The sequence below is a fragment of the Homo sapiens genome, chromosome 6, assembly GCF_000001405.40.
Source record: "Homo sapiens chromosome 6, GRCh38.p14 Primary Assembly".
Lineage (NCBI taxonomy): Eukaryota > Metazoa > Chordata > Mammalia > Primates > Hominidae > Homo > Homo sapiens.
In genome coordinates this window covers 2,910,613-2,930,932 of record NC_000006.12, presented here as the reverse complement: position 1 = coordinate 2,930,932, position 20,320 = coordinate 2,910,613, and the positions used below count along the sequence as shown (strand labels likewise).

General features: G+C 43.2%; 4 annotated features.

Moving 5' to 3' along the window:
• Positions 1,485-2,144: an enhancer, noted in NCBI's record as "H3K27ac hESC enhancer chr6:2929023-2929682 (GRCh37/hg19 assembly coordinates)". NCBI's record gives its function as "activates a minimal SCP1, AML or CMV promoter by ChIP-STARR-seq in naive H9 embryonic stem cells {active_cell/tissue: H9 hESC(naive)}" and the evidence as "EXISTENCE:reporter gene assay evidence [ECO:0000049][PMID:30033119]".
• Positions 2,145-2,803: an enhancer, noted in NCBI's record as "OCT4-NANOG-H3K27ac hESC enhancer chr6:2928364-2929022 (GRCh37/hg19 assembly coordinates)". NCBI's record gives its function as "activates a minimal SCP1, AML or CMV promoter by ChIP-STARR-seq in naive H9 embryonic stem cells {active_cell/tissue: H9 hESC(naive)}" and the evidence as "EXISTENCE:reporter gene assay evidence [ECO:0000049][PMID:30033119]".
• Positions 8,833-9,334: an enhancer, noted in NCBI's record as "OCT4-NANOG hESC enhancer chr6:2921833-2922334 (GRCh37/hg19 assembly coordinates)". NCBI's record gives its function as "activates a minimal SCP1, AML or CMV promoter by ChIP-STARR-seq in naive H9 embryonic stem cells {active_cell/tissue: H9 hESC(naive)}" and the evidence as "EXISTENCE:reporter gene assay evidence [ECO:0000049][PMID:30033119]".
• Positions 14,009-14,551: an enhancer, noted in NCBI's record as "OCT4-NANOG-H3K4me1 hESC enhancer chr6:2916616-2917158 (GRCh37/hg19 assembly coordinates)". NCBI's record gives its function as "activates a minimal SCP1, AML or CMV promoter by ChIP-STARR-seq in naive H9 embryonic stem cells {active_cell/tissue: H9 hESC(naive)}" and the evidence as "EXISTENCE:reporter gene assay evidence [ECO:0000049][PMID:30033119]".

Sequence of the window (20,320 nt, the reverse complement as noted above, 5' to 3'; positions counted from 1 at the left end):
CTTGGAAATGTAATTTTATAACCTTTAAAAAACTCTTCCAAGGGCTGGGCATGGTGGCTCAGGCCTGTAATCCCAGCACTTTGGGAGTCTGAGGGGGGCAGATTGCCTGAGCTGAGGAGTTCGAGACCAGCCTGGGCAACACAGAGAAACCCCGTCTCTACTAAAATACAAAAAATTAGCCCAGCGTGGCAGCATGTGCCTGTAATCCCAGCTACTTGAGAGGCTGAGGCAGGAGAATTGCTTGAACCTGGGAGGCGGACGTTGCAGTGAGCTGAGATCGTGCCATTGCACTCCAGCCTGGGCAACAGAGCGAGACTCCATCTCAAAACAAAAACAAAAACAAACAAAAAACTCTTCCAAAAAGAAGAGGTTTGGTTGGTTTCAAATAATTAAAAATATAAATATATAAAATCTTAAATATTATAATTAGACATAGATTGACAATCAAACATCAAGGCTTAGTAAGCTTTTATCAATGTTTTTATTTTATTTAAATCAACCCATATAATCCCAGTGCTTTGGGAGGCTGAGGTGGGAGGATTGCTTGAGTCCAGGAGTTTGAGCCCGAAGCGAGCTATTGTTAGGGAAGCGGGAGCCCAGGAGAGCCAGAATAACGCCATTTTAAGTTCAGCTTCATCTTGAGACTAATGAGGCACATTCTTTTCCAGTCACCACCCATGGTCATAAGATATTTACACTTAAGGAAACAGCTTAAAGACACCTGCAGGGACACAGTCCTACAGCAACAGAAAGTCAAGATGTCCCAATGCCCATAGCAATATATGCTTTCAAGATAATTATTGTTTGAGACTCAGTCTTGCTCTGTCGCCCAGGCTGGGGTGCAAGTGGTGTGATCTCAGCTCACTACAACCTCTGCCTCCTGGGTTTCAGCGATTCTCCTGCCTCAGCCTCCCTAGTAGCTGAGACTACAGGCGCGCATCACCACGCCCGGCTAATTTTTGTATTTTTTAGTAGAGACGGGGTTTCACCATCTTGGCCAGGCTGGTTTTGAACTCCTGACCTTGTGATCTGCCTGCCTTGGTCTCCCAAAGTGCTGGGATTACAGGCATGAGCCACCATGCCTGGCTGCTTTCAAGATACTTGTATTTATGCTTTTACGTACATACACACTAAAACTAAAAACAAACAAAAAAACAAAACACAAGGATAGTTTTCTTTAAATCAACAGAATAATAAATTTTGTCATGCCTTCAGCCTACCCACACATAGATGTGGCTTAGCTTAGCTTTTACATAAACAAGACCTGCTACATAAGAAAAACTTAAAGATGAGTTCCTCCTCTTGCTTTCTGAGGACACTGTACTCTGTATCTGAGTAGCTTTCAATAAACAATGTCTTCTCACTGCACCCTGAGACTTGCCTTGAATTTCTTCCTGCATGAGATCCAAGAACCCTCTCCTGGGGTCTGGATCAGGACCTCTTTTTCTAGTAACACTATGATCGCACCACTGCAGTCCAGCCTGGGCCACACACTCTTGTGGGTTTGTGTGTAATTGTGTGTTGTGTATGTGTCCGGGAAATTGACTGTCTTTTTTTAATTAATTTATTTTTTTTTAATGGAGTCTTGCTCTGTCGCCCAGGCTGGAGTACAGTGGTGCGATCTCGGATCACTGCAACCTCCGCCTCCCAGGTTCAAGCAATTCTCCTGCCTCAGCCTCCCAAGCAGCTGGGACTACAGGTGCGCACCAGCTCTGGTGGTGTATTTTCAGTAGAGACAGGGTTTTGTCTTGTTGGCCAGGCTGGTCTTGAACTCCTGACCTCAAGTGATCCACTTGCCTCGGCCTCCCAAAGTGCTGGGATTACAGGCGTGAGCCACCGCGCCCAGCCAAGTGAATGTCTTTTGTGGGCACCAGACAGCGGGATTGGCTCCTCTCAAGTGAGAAATTCCAAAGGAATTTTTGTTTGCATATTGATCAAGCCCAACCAATGGAGACAGGAAGCACCAGCTGGTCCAGCTGCTTCAGTTTGGACACTTGGGGCTTGTTTGTTGCTGCATCAGTTGGATTGTGTTTTGGGGATTGTTTGGTGTGTGTCGATACAGTCATGGGAAACCTGAATCTGATAAACTGATATTCTTTTGTAATACTGTTTAGCCCCAATATTCTTTGGAATCTGGAATTTGCTGTTGATTGAGAAAGTGGGATGGAGGTCCCTGTATCCAGGCATTTACGTTGCTGTTCTAAGCAGGGTTAGGCCTGGTTAGCAGGTTTCAGGTGATGTTCTTCTGTGGGGCTGTTTGCCCCCACTGTTCTTTGAAGTCTGAGGAGGTTTTGGCATTTAAAAATCAAACTGCCATGAAAATTGCTTTACTCAAAATTTTGGTTCAAAGCCTTCATTGGATTACCTATCTTTCGGGGGACCTGCCCCGAAAATCACACAGGTTCTTTTCTATTTTCCTAAGCGTCGACCAGCTTGAGAAATAAAAGGACAGAGTACAAAAGAGAGAAATTTTAAAGCTGGGCGTCCGGGGGAGACATCACACGTTGGTAGGATCCGTGATGCCCCACAAGCCACAAAAACCAGCAAGTTTTTATTAGGGATTTTCAAAAGGGGAGGGAGTGTGCGAATAGGTGTGGGTGACAGACATCAAGTACTTAACACGGTAATAGAATATCACAAGGCAAGTGGAGACAGGGCGAGATCACAGGACCACAGCTCCGAGGCGAAATTAAAATTGCTAATGAAGTTTCGGGCACCATTGTCATGGGTAACATCTTATCAGGAGACAGGGTTTTGAGATCAACCGGTCTGACCAAAATTTATTAGGCGGGAATTTCCTCTTCCTAATAAGCCTGGGAACGCTATGGGAGACTGCAGTTTATTTCACCCCTGCAGTCTCAACCATAAGAGACAGGTACGCCCCGGCGGGGGGCCAGCTCAGAGACCTACCTCTAGGTGCGCATTCTCTTTCTCAGGGACGTTCCATGCTGAGAAAAAGAATTCAGTGATATTTCTCCCATTTGCTTTTGAAAGAAGAGAAATATGGCTCTGTTCTGCCCGGCTCACCAGTGGTCAGAGTTTAAGGTTATCTCTCTTATTCCCTGAACAATTGCTGTTATCCTGTTCTTTTTTCAGGATGCCCACATTTCATATTGCTCAAACACACATGCTGTACAATTTGTGTAGTTAACGCAATTATTACAGGATCCTGAGACAATATACATCCTCCTCAACTGACAGGATTAAGAGATTAAATTAAAGACAGGCATAGGAAATCACAAGGGTATTGATTGGGGAAGTGATAAGTGTCCATGAAATCTTTACAATTTATGTTTAGAGATTGCAATAAAGACAGGCATAAGAAATTATAAAAGTATTAATTTGGGGAACTAATAAATGTCCATAAAATCTTCACAATCCACATTCTTCTGTCATGGCTTCAGCTGGTCCCTCCGTTTGGGGTCCCTGACTTCCCACAACACCTATCCAGGAAAAAAAGTTTAGCCATGGAAACCAGTGAGTTTATTTTGCTATCTCATGACTAGAGTTCTGAGGTAAAAGCTATTGGATTTTTGTTTATATGTGTGTATATATATATATGTCTAGATGTGTTTATGTATGTACATTTATTATGTTATATGTTGTATCTACCAAATTGGCTTATAAATGAAAGAGCTCTCATAAGTAAATCCAAAGTATTTTTTCAAGTTGATGTGACTTAAAAAAAATCTTTACTAAACAAGCTGGCTTTAAAATGTCTTCAGAATTGTCAGCATACATTTCTGCCTGGGTTTTATGTTTGTCTCTGCTAGATGTTTTGAGGTGTAACAGTTTGATATAGAGGGTTATAAAACCATAAACCCAGCCAAAATGAAATGATCTTGGTTTGTGTGCCTTTTTTGATAAATAAGACTAATTTAATGTTGTTAGCTAAATCTTCTGAGTTATTGGCAAAAATATCCAAATATTTAACTTTAAGGTTCTTACTTGTGTGAGCACCTGATGTTCACTGGCTATTAAAACAATTATTTGCAAGGAAATTACTAACTTTAAATGATGACTAGCTGTGTCTAATATCTCAGTTTTCAGAAGTAATCTAGGTAAACTGTTTAAAATGAAATAACTGAGTACATGTATATAGGATAAATGTAAGTGATCTTTTTTTGTAATTTAAAATCCTAAAATTATTTTTGATGTTCATTGGATGTCTGGGACATTTCCAATTAAGAAGAGGTTATGATATGGGGAAACATGTTTCTAAAATTGTTGTGGGGAAAAGAAAGAGAGATCAGATTGTTACTGTGTCTATGTAGAAAAGGAAGGCATAAGAAACTCCATCTTGATCGGTACTAAGAAAAATTGTTTCTGCTTTGAGATGCTGTTAACCTGTAACTTTAGCCCCAACCCTGTGCTCACAGAAACATGTGCTATATTGAATCAAAATTTAATGGATTTAGGGTTCTGTGGGATGTGCCTTGTGAGCAATATGTTTGCAGGCAGTATGCTTGGTAAAAGTCATCGCCATTCTCCATTCTCGATTAACCGGGGACACAACGCACTGCAGAAAGCTGCAGGGACCACTGCCCAAGAAAGCCTGGCTTTCCCCCCACTGAGACAGCCTGAGATATGGCCTTGTTGGAAAGGAAAGACCTTACCATGCCCCAGGCCCACACCGGTAAAGGGTCTGTGCTGAGGAGGAGTAGTGAAAGAGGGAGGCCTCTTTGCAGTTGAGATAAGAGGAAGGCTTCTGTCTCCTGCTCCTCCCTGGGATTGGAATGTCTCAGTGTAAAGCCGACCATTCCCATTCGTTCGATTCTGAGATAGGAGAAAACCACCCTGTGGCTAGAGGCAAGATAAGCTGGCAACAATGCTGCTCTGTTACTCTTTGCTACACTGAGATGTTTATGTAAAGTGAAAGATAAATCTGGCCTACGTGCACATCCAGGCACAGTACCTTTCCTTGAACTTATTCATGATACAGATTCCTTTGCTCACATGTTTCCCTGCTGACCTTCTCCCCACGTGTTGCCCTGCTACACTCCGCTGGCTAAGATAGTAAAAATAATGATCAGTAAATACTGAGGGAACTCAGAGGCGGGTGCTGGTGGCCCCCTTCAAATTGTCAAATGGTTCTCATCTATAAAATGCTAATGTCTGATAGGCAGCTCAGGACTTCTTGCTTCCTAGGTTTTCACTAAAATTTAAGGTTACTGAGGATAGGAATTATAGTTAATATATAATTCTGTATATAAAATGTGCCAAAGAAGATGTGTTCTTGTGAGATAAAGAATAATTTTGTCAGATTTAGAACTTATCTAAAGGTTAATTCAAATTATGGACTTGAAAAGGTTATTTATGAAAAGCGTAGTAAGGAACCAGTAAGTAGGGAAGAGAGATGGGAAGAAAGTTATGTATGTGAAGATGTATTTTTGTTAAGGAAGGTTATAAAGAAAAATAATTTTGTGTGAGAAAGGATATTGTATGGTGATTTTTTTTCCTAAAGTAAAATGACTAATTATTAAAAAACAGAGAGAAAATTTAGGACAAAACAGAAAATCCAAGCATGTGATAGATGGTCTGTGTAAATCATATGTAATTTTTTCTGTTTCTCTGTGTCTGTCTTCATGCACATACCAAAAAAAAAAAATAGCAAGTTGAGAAAGTTTAGATAATAAAATATTCTTTAAAACCTGATAGAAAATTGAAGACATTTGGCTAATTGACATTGTTCATAGTTAAAGCTCTTAGTCTTGATAAAGGTAGAATAAGAAATATTATAAAGAAATACATTGCCAGTTTGGCAATTCTTTTTAAATGTAGTTAAGTATGAAGCCAGATTACCATGGAGCGAAATTTCACACACACATTTGCACTGCTTCACACTATATTTGCAATTCTGCATAGATAGTACTAGCACCAAAGTAATTACTGGTCATATACCCAAAGTGAATGTCTTAATTGCACAAAATATATCATGTTATTGATAGACTTAAATACATTGAATTGTATATCAGGAACAAAATATCTATTATGTGTTTCTTTAAGATGCTGGTTAACACTTTAGCCTCTAAGGTAAACTGAGTAGGAGAACAATTGGGGTTGGTTTCCTGTTTATTTCCTTCTGCTTCTAATTTTCATTTATTTGCTGTTTGTTCTCCTTTGGGTTTTACATATATATGCATATATAAAACCATTGATGTTTTTAAGTTTCCCGTGGAAGTCTTTTATTTTGTTCTATAAATAGTCATTTTGTTTCCTATGCATTTCCAGCAATTCATCATTTGTTTTATTTATCTAAAATTCTTAAGCCCCTTTGTCAGGCATCCAAAAATTGATAAAGGACATCAGCCATTTAAATTTTGGTTGGTTTTGCTTGATGATGGGGAGAGCTACAAGACCTTTAAGGCACCTAGGAAAAAAATAAAAGACTAATTTTTGGAAGTTCTGAGCAGAAATAGCACATTATTTATTTTGTTACTTGAAGAAGTGGGTGAGAATGAAAATGTTTAAATGGTGTTTATTTCCAAGGTAATTCAATTCAGTCAATAATTTCAGTTGGTTTCAGATCTTTCCTTTAGGTAGTGAGGAAACACGGTGATATGAGTACAACATTTTAATGTTCAGGAAAGATTGGCTGTATCCTTAATGAAATTGTATTGCTTAGGATTATTCTGAAGCTAATTTAGTTGTGTTGACCATTATTAAAATGTAGTTGTGTTGGCCATTATTTTGTTGTGTTGACATTCACTTGGATTAAGTAGTAATAAAGAATGTGAGACTTTCTAGTGATTTTTGATCTCAAGCCGTTTATCACTGATGGGCTTTCATATGTGTACATGAAAAAAATATGTACAAGTGTTGCGCTGGTTTGAAGATTTTAGTGGTGAAAGTTACTTAATTCGTTCTCAGTACTGTATCTAGGAACTAATCTTGGAAATATGGGATGATGTTCTTTAAACATAGCTGAAAAGAAATTACTGTGTGCTTGTTCTTACCTCGTCTTTGCTCTGTTGTATACTATTTAAGTGAAAGGAGCTTATTTATCCTCATTGAATTTCTAAAACCGATATTTGCATTTACCATTTTTTAATGATGGAGAGAAAAGCTAGTTGTTTTGTTTTGATATGTTTGGTACAGGCCCCATCACTTTTGGATGCTTTGGGTCACAGTTCTGTCACCAGAACGCTAGCAACTAGATACTCGCAACGAGTAACCTAAATACTTTAATACAGTGGTTTGGAGTGTGCAGGCAGCAACTACTGAATGCCAAATCACAATATTTTAACTTGTGACATGTTAGAATGATAGAACTTTCCATAGTCTAAATAATATCCCTTTAACTAATCCTCCTGCTGTTAAGTTACAGGTCTTTGACTCCTGGGTCTGAAAAAGACACCAACCCCTGCTAAATTTTGAGCACTGATACCTGTCAAAGGCTCATCTTCAGACCCTCAGATCTGGGAGAAGGTGACAATCAAAATGAACTGCTTTTGTGAGACACAGGGCCAGAAATTAAAACTATTCAACCCTCTAGGCCCAGGGACTATTGCAGAAGAGGTGGGCCTATGGGATTGTAAGGGCCAATTTTGAGGGATAACATTAGTTCTGTAAATTAAACATTAATATCAAAAGTGCACTGGTGCAAGGCTAGCGTCTAGGCCCATATGTCTGAATAACAGGGTTTCTTGAAGCATTGATCTGTTCTTTAACAGAAAATCATAAACGGTTATAAAAAGTATATGGTAATCTTACCTTATGATTAAAATTAGATTTGTTTGTAAGGTTTTATCAAAATTAGCTTTAACATTAATAATACACCATACAAAGGTAAAATTCTGATTTTCTCTTTTGAACAAAATATTTGTGTAATATTAGTAAGAGATAAAAGATTTTTGTATACCTTTTTTGTAAACTAAAGCGAAAAAATGGAGGGGGAGAGACAGATTTCGTTGGCCTCATGCTGTGTTTATTAGGTTTTATTGTTTGGGAAGCTGAATCTCCTCTCTATCAAAAGGTAAATGTTTTTGTTTTATCATTTTGGCTAAATAAATGACTATTTTATAGTGACCTGTGGTTCTATTTTGTGATAATCAAGTATCTTAACACTGATATTTGGCAAACTTTCTAAGAGCAAAATTTCAAGTTCTAAATTCAGTCTTTTTGACCTCAAACTAACTTTTTTGAATATTAAATTCTCTGAAGCCCAAGAGAGACAATTTAGGCTTATTTGTTATGTTAGAATTATTCAGAAAGCACTGTCAAATCTGAGGTGGTGTTTAGCTTCCTTTGGGTTATATTTATATAGATATGTCGTTAATATTTGTTCCAGGATTGTATAAGATTCCTCAAATTCAGATATGTCTTAGTATATATTGTCAGTAGTAATTATGATTATTATGTTAAATTGTTGTATGCCATAGATGTAACCCACTGTCATTGACAACTGTATCTTTACAGCTGTCCTAAGACTTTTGTCATTCACAATTATTGTTTTGCTTTGATCCTTCTCAAAAAGTGACTTCTAATCAGCTATAGTCCAGGGTTTTCTTCTTTGGAGAAGTTCATGAAAAGAACTCTTGAAGTCAGGTTTCTGTTAACTTTGAAGATTGTGCCATTGGATTAGAGAGGATATTTCCAGGGTACTAGTTGAAAGGCTGATGTGCATAAAGATTACTAACCCAATATGAAGTAGAGCAGGAGTTGATTGCATGGATTGAACTGACGGAGGACTGAAATAATTTTTCATGGCCTTTTTTGTTTGTTTGAAACATTGCTGATTCTTCAGAGTCTGGAGAACGTTTTTCCTTTTGAGCTATTTATAGCCTTTAACAATTGAGTAGATTATACTTTTGTAAACTGAAATTAAGGCATATTTTGTTCTCTGCCTACTTTCTCCAGAATTTGTAATTCATTTATGAATATTCTTAATTCATGGCAATGTGTTTGTTTGCATAACTTCAATAGGAATCTGTTTTCTTGTATACTGGGACACAGTGGAGGAACTGGCTGTTTTCCCAGGGCTTTGACTGAAATGGCACTGTGAGAGGTTCCAGCCAGTCCAATCTAGGAGAGCCTATGTGGACAAGGATTCTTGCTGCGCTTTGTGTGGGTCATCAGGCTACCTGTAGGGGACTAAAGTTTCTTTTGCATGTAGGTTGGTCCTGCTGTTACTTGTCTTTGGTGGAAGTGAGGCCTGGAGAGAGAAAGATTGTGTTTCAGAAGAAAACTCTATATTAAGTTAACCTTTGACTTCTGGGTGGCCACGTGGTCACCCCTGGTATGGAGCTGCCCACAATGCCCCTTCTCAGCATGAAGCAGCCGGAAAGACTGACAGCCAGATTCCCCAGGATTGAGGAATTGATCAATAGAAAAGTGGGACTGAAACCGACCCAAGAGTCCTACAGACAGTTTTTTTTTTTTTTTGTATAAACATGGAAATTGACTCTCTGATCACAAATCTTGAAACTTATATTTGTTTTATCTGAATTCCTTCCTTAAGAAAGGACCCCTAGGCCTCTCAGAAGGTATCAAAGGACTGAAACTGACCAGATTGCTGTATGCAGACAATGCGACGCCAAACCTCTGGTTCATCATGATTGCTTCTTTATCCCTCCCGAGTTCCTGTTTTCCATACATAGTCCATTTTTCCCTGCTCTATAATTTTAGTCAGTCCAGGAGATGGTTTTGAGGTGGATCTCCCATCTCCTTGGCTGCAGCACCCAATTAAAGCTTTCTTTCTTGGCAATGCTTGTCTCAGTCACGGGCTTTCTGTGCAGCAAACAGCAGGACCTAGACTCAACCCCTGGTGTTTCAGTAGCAGTAGTGATGGTGATGCTGGTGGCAGGAACCTCCCAAGTGCTGGAGTCTTGGAAGTGTGGGCACCATGGGTGAGCCAGGACTCCAAGTGAGCTTAGGGAAAGGAAGCGGACTGAGGCCTGAGGCAGGCACAGGGGAGTGGAGGGAGAGCTGCAGGCGCGGGGGTCACAGGGAGGAACTGCTGGAGGGGAGGAGCTACAGGTTGAGAGGAGCTGTGGGCAGGGAGGAGCCTTGGGTGGGGAGGAGCCACTAGCGTGGAGGTGCTGCGGGTGTGGTGGTTGGGGAGTGGCCATCGCAGTAAGAACCTGGCAGGGTCCGCCAGCTGGGCAGCGGGCAGCGAGGATGGGGTCATTGCTCAGACATGCCATGCGGGCCCCAGGTAGCAGGGGCAATGGGTCTTGTTGCTCTGGGTTGATGTGGTCCAAGGAGTCACCGGATAGGAGGAGGGGAAGTCCTGACATGCTCGCCGCCCGCATCTACAGCAACCGTCTCACGTTTGTAAACCAAAAGTAAAATTCTAAGCTTCCCAACCATCTGAATGGACGTCCCCTCTTGCCAAGGACATTCCAAAGTTTACCTGAAAGACTAGTTTGCGCCAGGATGGTTTGGGGGAGCGGGACGTGCCTCATTATACCCTCCTTTCTTTTGGAATTACTGATAGAACAGATGCTTTAAATCTGATAAGAAACATTTACTTGGCCGGGCGCGGTGGCTCGCACCTGTAATCCCAGCACTTTGGAAGGCCAAGGTGGGTGGATCATTCGAGGTCAGGAGCTCAAGACCCAGCCTGGCCAACATGGTGAAACCCCATCTCTACTAAAAAAAAAAAAAAATCCAAAAATTAGCTGGGGGCATGGTGCCTGTAATCCCAGCTAATTGGAAGGCTGAGGCAGGAGAATCGCTTGAACTCGGGAGGCGCAGGTTGCAGTGACAAGATCGTACCACTGCACTCCAGCCTGGGCAACGGAGTGAAACTCTGTCTCAAAAAAAAAAAAAAAAAAGGAAACACTTACTTTACTTTAAATCTGATTAAAAAAACATTTACAATCTATTTTCCCTGAAGCCTGCTACCTGGAGGCTTCACCTGCATGCTGAAACCTTGGTCTCCACAACCCCTTATCTTAACCCAGACATTCCTTTCTATTGATTTGGAAAATCTTTGGCTCTGCTTATGACCTGGAAGCCCCCACTTTGACTTGTCCCTCCTTTCCGGACCAAACCAATGTACATTTTACATGTATTGATTGATGTCTCATGTCTTCCTAAAATGTATAAAACCAAGCTGTGTCCCAACCACCTTGGGCACGTGTTCTCAGGATCTCCTGAGGGCTGTGCCACGGGCCATGGTCACTCATATTTGGCTCAGAATAAATCTCTTCAAATATTTTACAGAAGTTGACTCTTTTCGTTGACATGTTGCTACTGCTTTTTTAAAAAAGCAAAACACCTCCCATCTTCCTTCTTCACTGGCAGCTCCCCTCAGCTGGAAACACGCCTCTTCCCTGCTGCCCTTGTGGCGGCCAGTGGGCCCCTCCCTCCACATCTCACTTTGCCAGGGGCTTTCCTGCCCTCCCTCAACCTTCCCTCTCGGGCTCCCACACTCTCTCAGGTACCCAGTCAACTTCAAATGTTGGACATTCCCCTGAATTGGGTGGATTTCTTCTCATGGGTCTCCACTATAACCTCCAACTAATTTCCTCCACTTCCATAGAACTTCCTGGCACAGGGATGCAGATGGCATCCAAGGTCTGTCTCTAGAAGTGCCACTCATGCCAACGCCCTACTGTTCTTGGAAAGGGGTCCTGAGACAAACTCTAAGAGAAGGTTCTTGGGTCTTGCACAAGAAAGAACTCAGGGTGAGTCCATAGAGTAAAGTGAAAGCAAGTTTATTAAGACAGTAAAGGCATAAAGAATGGCTACTCCACAGGCAGAGCAGCCCCAGCGGTTGCTGGTTGGCTATTTTTATGGTTATTTCTTGATCATACACTAAACAAGGGGTGGATTATTCATAAGTTTCCTGGGAAGGGGGCAGGGATTTCCTAGAACTGAGGGTTCCTCTTCCTTTTAGACCACATAGGGTAACTTCCAGACATGGGTAACTTCCTGCTGTGGCACTGGCATGCCATGGCACTGGCGGGAGTGTCTTTTAGCATACTAAGGCATTATAATTAGCGTATGATGAGCAGTGAAGAGGACCAGAAGTCATGTTGTCACCGTCTTGGATTCGGTGGGTTTTGGCCGGCTTCTTTATTGCATCCTGTTTTTATTTATTTTTTTGAGACTAGAGTGCGCTCTAGCACCAGGCTAGAGTGCAGTGGCACAATCGTGGCTCACTGCAGCTTCGACCTTCTGGGCTCAAGTGATCCTCCCACCTTGGCCTCTTGAGTAGCTGGGACTACAGGCGTGTGCCACCATGCCTGGCTAATTTTTAAATTTTTGTTGTTGTTGTGACGGGCTTTTGCTATGTTGTTCAGGCTGGTCTCAAACTCCTGGGCTCAAGCGATCTACCTGCCTTGGTCTCCCAAAGTTTGGGGATTACAGGTGTGACCCACTGCCCTGGGCCCTGCATCCTGTTTTATCAGCGGGTCTTGGTGGCATGTATCTTGTGCTGGCCTTCTGAGAAGGCCTAAATTCCTGGGAATGCAGCCCTGTAGGTCCCAGCCTCATTTTACCCATCCCCTGTTCAAGATGGAGTTGCTCTGGTTTCAACTCCTGTGACACTACCTATATTTATATTTGAATATCCTGGGCTGTCTTTGCTTACAGGGGCGGTTGGGATGTCCCACGTGCCTCCAGTGGAACACCCCCACTCCCACTGGGCTTCCTTGGGTATAAATGTTGCTGGAGCCTCTCAGAGCAGTTCTCACCTCTGCCCGCCCCCTGACCTGTGCTAGTCATGGCAGCAGCTCATGTCCTAATTCTCCAGCTGCATCCTGGCAGCTGCAGTTCTATGGCCGTGGACTGCCGACAGGCGCCCTAGCTTTTCCACATCAGACGGCCATCCATATGGTTTCCCTAAAACTCCAAAGTAATTGCATCCTACATTTGTTTAAAAGCACTCATGACTCTCCAGACGGCAGATAGAGTTCAGATGCCTGAAACCGGCTGCCCTGCCAAGAGGGTTCCTGGGAAGTTTGGGGCTTCCCGAGGGTCTCGCCACTGCCCCTCTGACAGGAAACAGCAGACCCTGGCTCCCCCAAAGCTGGCTCTTCCTGCTATGGGTGAACATGTGGCTGACCCGCAACAGCAAATTCCTGTATGTGCCCTCCCCTCTGGCGTGAGTTCCAGATCATTTTCTTTCCCCACAAAAATGGAAGGGAAGGTCTGCATCGGTGCTCTTGGAATAAACTCATCAGCAGGAGCGTGTGTGGGGAGAGAGGAGTGCAGCCACCTTGCTTTTTTATGTGTAAAAAGGAAACTAGTTTGATGCCAATGTATGTATTTATTTGTTTTTTAGAGAAGGGGGTCTCATTATACTGCTCAGACTGGATTTGAACTCCTGGACTCAAGTGCTCTTCCTGCCTCAGTCTCCAGAGTAGCTGGGACTACAGGCTCACCCTACTGCACCCAGGCTGGAATTTCAATGTCAAGTTCAATGGCTGGAAATCAAACTTTTCCTATAGCAGTATATTTATGGTGCCATAGTGTTGTGGCGTGGGCACCCACCAGTATTGTTTTGTATGCTGTTGGAATGAATGCCTTCTAGATTTACTGGGAGAGGTCCATCCATGTCCAAAGTTCCAACTCTCTTACAATCTTTAATGTGCAAATGGGAGTGGAGTACCAAGAAGAACCTGAGGGGGCGGAGAAGAGAGTCGCCCTGTTGTCTCCTTCCAGCGTCAGCCTAACCATCAGTGTGAGCTGGGACACACCCCCAAGGCACACTTGTGTGTGAGTGTGTGCATGTGTGTGTGTCATTGCTATGGGGTAGATAATGACCAGTACCTACAGGCTGGAAAGGAAAGAGGTGAGGAAGTGAGAGGGAGGAAGAGGGAAGACAGGAGAGGCCAGAAGTACGTGATTGTAAGGAATTAAGAGCAGTTTAATGGAGAGTCAACATTGATGGGTACTCCAGTTCATTCCTTTGCCTGTTCCGACAGGATGATTATACACACACACACACTCCAGCCTAGGTTTATGACTGCCTCACCTGGATGGTAAAGCTCCACTTGCAGGTAGAGTCCAATTCAAATGTTATTTGGGTCTCTGTCATCTCTGTTTTCTCATCCTCATTGAGTCTCTTTTGCTAATGCCATCCCTGGTGGGCCAGTGCCCTCAGTGTGAGTATTTCTTCTGGCTTCCTAGCCTTTTATTTCCTTCAAGAGTAAGGTGAGATTGAGCATGGCAGAAGCAGCCTGGACACAGACCAGACCCTGCTGTGCTGGAGACACTACAGACACCAACCTTCTAGCAGCTGCTGCCCTGGAAGGCTCCCCAGAGGCTTGATTATTTGAGGACAATGGATGAACTTTCACATTTTGTTCTAGAATCATGACCTATTATGTGTAGGGTACTGTTGTGCAAATATCACTAGATGGCATTTTCTTGGCTGACATTTTCACTCATTGAAATGTAAAAGAATTTGCACTGATTGGCCTGTTTGTTGTTCTGTATGTAAAAATGGCCTTCACGCCTTTTTTAAGTGTGAGGCACTCCCTTTTAAAAAATATTTTAGCAGAAAGCTAAAACAAAACATCTGACAGTGGAGGTGCACTCTTTGAAATAATTGTCTCCCATCTCCCGCCTCATCCACTCAGCTCCTTTTCCTTCCCATCGTGCCCCTGAGAGACTCAGAAGACCCCTGCTAAGGCTTAAGGGAGTATAGCCTCACAACTGCAGGGTGAGGCACTGCAGTCCACTGGTGATGTGGAAGAAGCAAGATCAGGGGATGATACCCTGTTTATAAAAGTCAGCACATGCATGATGATCCTTATCTCTGCATAGAGTTTTCTGTAATTCTTGCTTTGCATATTTTCTAATTTTCCAAATGGAAACATACATTTCTTATGTGGCTTTAAAAAATGTGAGCAAAATATACATGCATATGATAAAAGAGAGGATAACATAATATAGAAAAATAGCTTGCAGGGTTATTGGATTGTGGATGATTTGTCTCTTCATTTCCTAAAATGTCCTCAATAGTAACAGCAAAGAGACTTTGGGAAACAGAGGCACATGGATGAACTTTAATATTTTATTGAATAGTGACCCAGCCAAAGAGAATCCTACTCTACTATTATTAGGTAAGGCTTAATAGAAAGATATAATTAGGCCAGGTGTGGTGGCTCACGCCTGTAATCCTAGCACTTTGGGAGGTCAAGGCAGGTGGATCACTTGAGGTCAGGAGTTCGAGACCAGCCTGGGCATCATGGCGAAACCCCACCTCTACCAAAAATACAAAAATTAGCTGGGTGTGGTGGTGCAGGTCTGTGGTCCCAGCTACTCGGGAGGCTGAGGCAGGAGAATTGCTTGAACTTGGAAGGCAGAGGTTGCAGTGAGCCGAGATCGTGCCACTGCAGTCCAGTCTAGGTGACAGAGCAAGCCTTTGTCTAGGAAAAAAAGAAATAATTAATGTTGGACTTATAAAAATTTGCTAAAATTATAATAACTGATAGTAACCTGTAGTAACTTTTGATTTAGTAATAAAGTTTCTCTCAGGCACATCTTTTCCTTCTACCTTCCAGGGTGCACATGGGTGATCCAGCCACTCTCACATGGAAGCATACCTCCTGGACCTGCCCCAAGTGATGTGTCGACTGGCCCCAAATCAACACCTCCAACTCAAGTTTCCACGTGGGATTTGGGCTTCATATTTGATGTCTATGCCAAGGCTGCCCTGGACAGCTCCCTAGCCTAGTTTCAGCAACTCCGGGGGAAGTGGTACCTCTCTGTGGACTCTCCCAGATTTAAAGTAACTGTCTCTTCAACATAGCCCTTATTTTACATCTCAAATGGACCCTTCAGATTTGGTGAGATCTGTCCAGCTGTTTCACATGACATGGTGACAGAAATGTAGTTTTTAGTTTTATTTTTTAGAAATGTAGCTTTGGCCCGGCACGGTGGCTCACACCTGTAATCCCAGCACTTTGGGAGGCCGAGGCAGGTGGATCACCTGAGGTCAGGAGTCCAAAACCAGCCCGAACAAGATGTTGAAACCCCATCTCTACTAAAGATACAAAAATTAGCCGGGCCTGGTGGTGCATGCCTGTAATCACAGCTACTTGGGAGGCTGAGGCAGGAGAATCACTTGAGCCCGGGAGGCAGAGGTTGCAGTGAGCTGAGATTGCGCCACTGCACTCCAGCCTGGGTGACAGAGTGAGGCTGTCTCAAAAAAAAAAAAAAAAAATGTAGTTTTTATTTACAGAGAATTACATTCTTTATTCACAGAACAGTGGTTACAAATTATATTAGTGACACCAAATTGGGAAGGAGCTAGCAGCAATCGGGATTTTATGGAATGATCAAGGATGCAGGCTGTGGAATCAAATCACAGTTTCCAACCCTGACTTCATTGACACCAACCACCTAGGAGATCGGGAACAAACTCAGTCTCCTCATCTTGGTGGGTACTTACTGCAGGGCCTCGGTGTGTGATAGTGAGGGTTAGCTGAGAGGCACATAAAGAACTTAGGGCGGTGCCTGTTTGCACTAGGGGCGGGTACAGCCAGCTGGTCTCTGAGGGTGCCTGTGAGCCCTGCAGCAGTCCTGTTGCTGAGGCCCCATATTGGCTACTCTGTGACTAAGCCAGTGTATTCGTTTCCTATTGCTGCCATCACAAATTACCTCAAACCTCAAATGGCTGAAAACAACCGAGCTTTACACCGTACAGCTCTGAAGTCAGAACTCCAAAACGGGTCAGCTGGGTTGATTCCTCCCAAGGCTCCGGGGAGAATCTGCTTCCTGGCCTTTTCCAGCTCCTAGAGGCCGCCTGTGTTCCATGGCTTGTGGCTCCGCATCACCCTGACCTCTGCCTCTGTCCTCACGTCTCCTCTGGCTGTGGCCCTCCTCCCTCTCTCATGAGGACCTGTGATCACACTGAGCCCACCCAGATGATCTATAAGAATGATTTGTGATCCTAATGTCTAAAAATGGAGTGGCTTGTGTTATGTGTGTAAACCAAAAATAAAATTCTAAGCCCTCAGTCCTCTATATGGACCCGTCCTCTCGGTAAAGGCCCAAAGCTAACTTGCAAACTAGTTCAGGCCATGATGGGAAGGGGAGCCGGACATGCCTCATTATGCAGTCTTCCGTTTTGGAATTACTGATAGAGCAGACTCTTTAAGTCTGATAAGAAACATTTACGGTTTATTATGTCTCACACCTGCTACCTGGAGGCTTCACCTGCATGATAAAAGCTTGGTGTCCACAACCCCTTATCATCATCCAGACATTCCTTTCTATTGATTCAGAAAACCTCTGGGTTTGCCTATGACCTGGAAGCCCCTGCTTCCAGTTGTCCTGCCTTTCCAAACCAAAGTACATCTTACACGTATTGATTGATGTCTCATGTCTCCCTAAAATGTATAAAACCAAGCTGTGTCCTGACCTTGGGCACCTGTTCTCAGGACCTCCTGAGGCCGTGTCATCGGCATGCCCTTAACCTTGGCAAAATAAACCTCTAAATTGATCCAGACTTGCCTCAGATACTTTTTGGTTTTCAAGTGGCATGAAGCCCACAGTGAAGTTGTTTACTCCTTAAAGTGGTAAGCGTATGTGTACTAGACTGAGCCTGAGCTCATAGTAAAGTTGTTTTTCTTTAAGGCGATAAACATATGTATAAGAGATGAGATTACATTTGCTGTGGCATGTACCACTTGAGACCCAAAAGGAACCGATAGAAAATGGAGCCAAAAGGTGGCTGAGATGATGATGACGGACACACCTGGGGAAAACCATAAAACCAGCAAGGAACTGACACTGTCAGAGGCACCTTGAGAATTCCTGCCTGTAGGAGACATCACACTCTGGGGACTGTTGTGGGGTGGGGGGAGGGGGGAGGGATAGCATTAGGAGATATACTTAATGTTAAATGACGAGTTACTGGGTGCAGCACACCAACATGGCACATGTATACATATGTAACTAACCTGCATGTTGTGCACATGTACCCTAAAACTTATAATAGAAAAAAAAAAGTGCCTCCTCCCGGTGAGACGGGCTGCCCAGAGGCTCTGTGTGAGAGGAGTGTCTGCTGTGCTGGCCTCCTCAGCCACAGCCTGGGTTTGCCATTCCGCTCATTACTGCCTTTAGTAATTGTATCATGTCATTCCCATCACTCACAGGAAAAGAAACAATGAAAAAAATAATTGTATTGTGAATGTTTGCTCGATTGATTGGGTATGTGTGAGTCTCTGGCAATAAACCATATTTAAGCATTGCAAATTGGCTACCGGGTCATTGGGAAACCTGGCTTTGATCTGAGCACACAGGCCAGAAGAACCTGATTACAATAACATTTAAAATGAACATAATACCAGATAACCAGCACGTCTCCCATCTCAAGATTCTTAACTAGAGGGACCACATCGGCAAAATCTCTTTTGCCATGTAAGACAGTCACTGGTTTTGGGGATTAGGAGGTAAGACATCTTTGGCAAGGGGCATTATTCTGCTGGCTACACCCCAGTGTTCACTGACTGGGGACTGACGACTAGGTGGCCATAGAGGGCTTGGTTGATGTGCTTCTGATCCAGACCTTCCCTGGTGGATGAATTCAGGTGCAGATGGCACTTTTTTTTTTTTTTTTTTTTTTTTTTTGGAGACAGTCTCACTCTTTCACCCAGGCTGGAGTGCAGTGGTGCAATCTCGGCTCACTGCAACCTGCACCTCCTGGATTCAAGTGATTCTCCTGCCTTAGCGTCCTGAGTAGCTGGGATTACAGGTGTGTGCCACCACGCCTGGCTAATTTTTTGTATTTTTAGTAGAGACAGGATTTCACCATGTTGGCCAGGCTGGTCTCGAACTCCTGACCTCAAGTGATCCACCCGCCTCAGCCTCCCAAAGTGCTGGGATTACAGACGTGAGCCACTGCGCCCTGCCCAGATGGCACTTTTGCCAGCAGTTTATTAAGGAGGAGGGTGATGAGAGCAACTCATGAAATATGTTTTTCTTGCCCCTGAGCATCTCCTCTGCCATGGCCATGGTGCTCATAGGGACAGGTGGAAATGTACCTATCACATGGGGAGAATGATGGCATGTTTTTCTCCTGTGCTTCCACAGAGGGGCCTTTTCATACCTTCACATCAGCCGGTAAAAGCTGGGGTGGCCTGTAGGTGGCAGGAAGGACCTCATGATAGCACATGGCAGAAATGGATAGAAAGGTGAACTGTGCAGGATGGGGAATCTCCTGTAGTGTTTGTGGGAGAAATCAAGTGATGAAGTTATTTTCTCTAGACAAAAGCATCCATAAATCACAGCAAAATTGCATCTTTGATAAGGTAAAGCTACAATTCTATTCCACAAAAAGACAATTTCAATTTTTTGTTTTAAACTTTTGCTAAATGTGTTTAAAATAGAATTGCAGCTGTAAATGAACCTTCCATAAAATGGGTTATTTTTAGTGGATGATAATGAATACGTGAAAAAAGAAAAAAACACAAATGAGAATGTATATCTTCTGGAGCTTAGAGGGCAAATATATTCTGACTGCCCCAAAATGGATGATGGGAACCATATGTACAAATGAGGTAGTGGGCACTGCTTTAGGGAAGCAGTCCTTAACCTTTCTGAGTCTCAGGTTTCTTTGATGATCTGGGGAAGTGTCTCGGCGTGTTACCACCTGTGCAATGTTGTGCAAGTCACATTAGTGGTGTCTGGCTGACCTCTCGAACTGCATCCACAGACCTCAGCTGAAGATCCCCCTGCAGCTGTTTCTTCCAGCTTCTGGTGGAAGGGCCGGTGATAGAGGAACAACCTTAATTTTCACTGTGGCTTGACATTTAAATCACAGTGTTACCTGGAGAACTTCTGTAAAATTACTGGTGAAACATTTTCAGTTTTATGTCTGCTCTTTCTTGTGTTCCCTGGGGCCAGGTTAGATTTAAACCTGAAGACTCATTTTTTTTTTTTTTCTGTTCTGTTTTCCTCCTGTTATCAAGGCTTCCTAGCATGAATAAATCTGCCAGACCCATGGTTCTCACCTAGGGGGCAACTGTGCCCCGGCCTGGAGGACATTTGGCAATGTCTGGAGACATTTTTGGTTATCATCATTGAGGGGTAGGTGTGCCTGGCATGGAGGGGGTGGAGGCCAGGGATGCTGCTGAATGTCCTGCACTGCACAGGACAGCACCCAGTGCAAAGAATGATCTGGCTTCACACATCAGCAATACGTCAGTTGAGAAACCCTGCGCTAGACAATTAAAGCATTTCGTTATAGGACCCTACCTAATTTTTTGTGTAGAGATTCATTTGGAGGTCCCTCTTTAGGGGAAGTAAGAGGGCAATGTTCGAAGTTGGCATTGCTGTTTAATATTACCAGGCACTTTGTTTAAACAAAGATAACGACGTTCACCAAGACTTCCAGTCACTTCCCATTGAAGTGAAT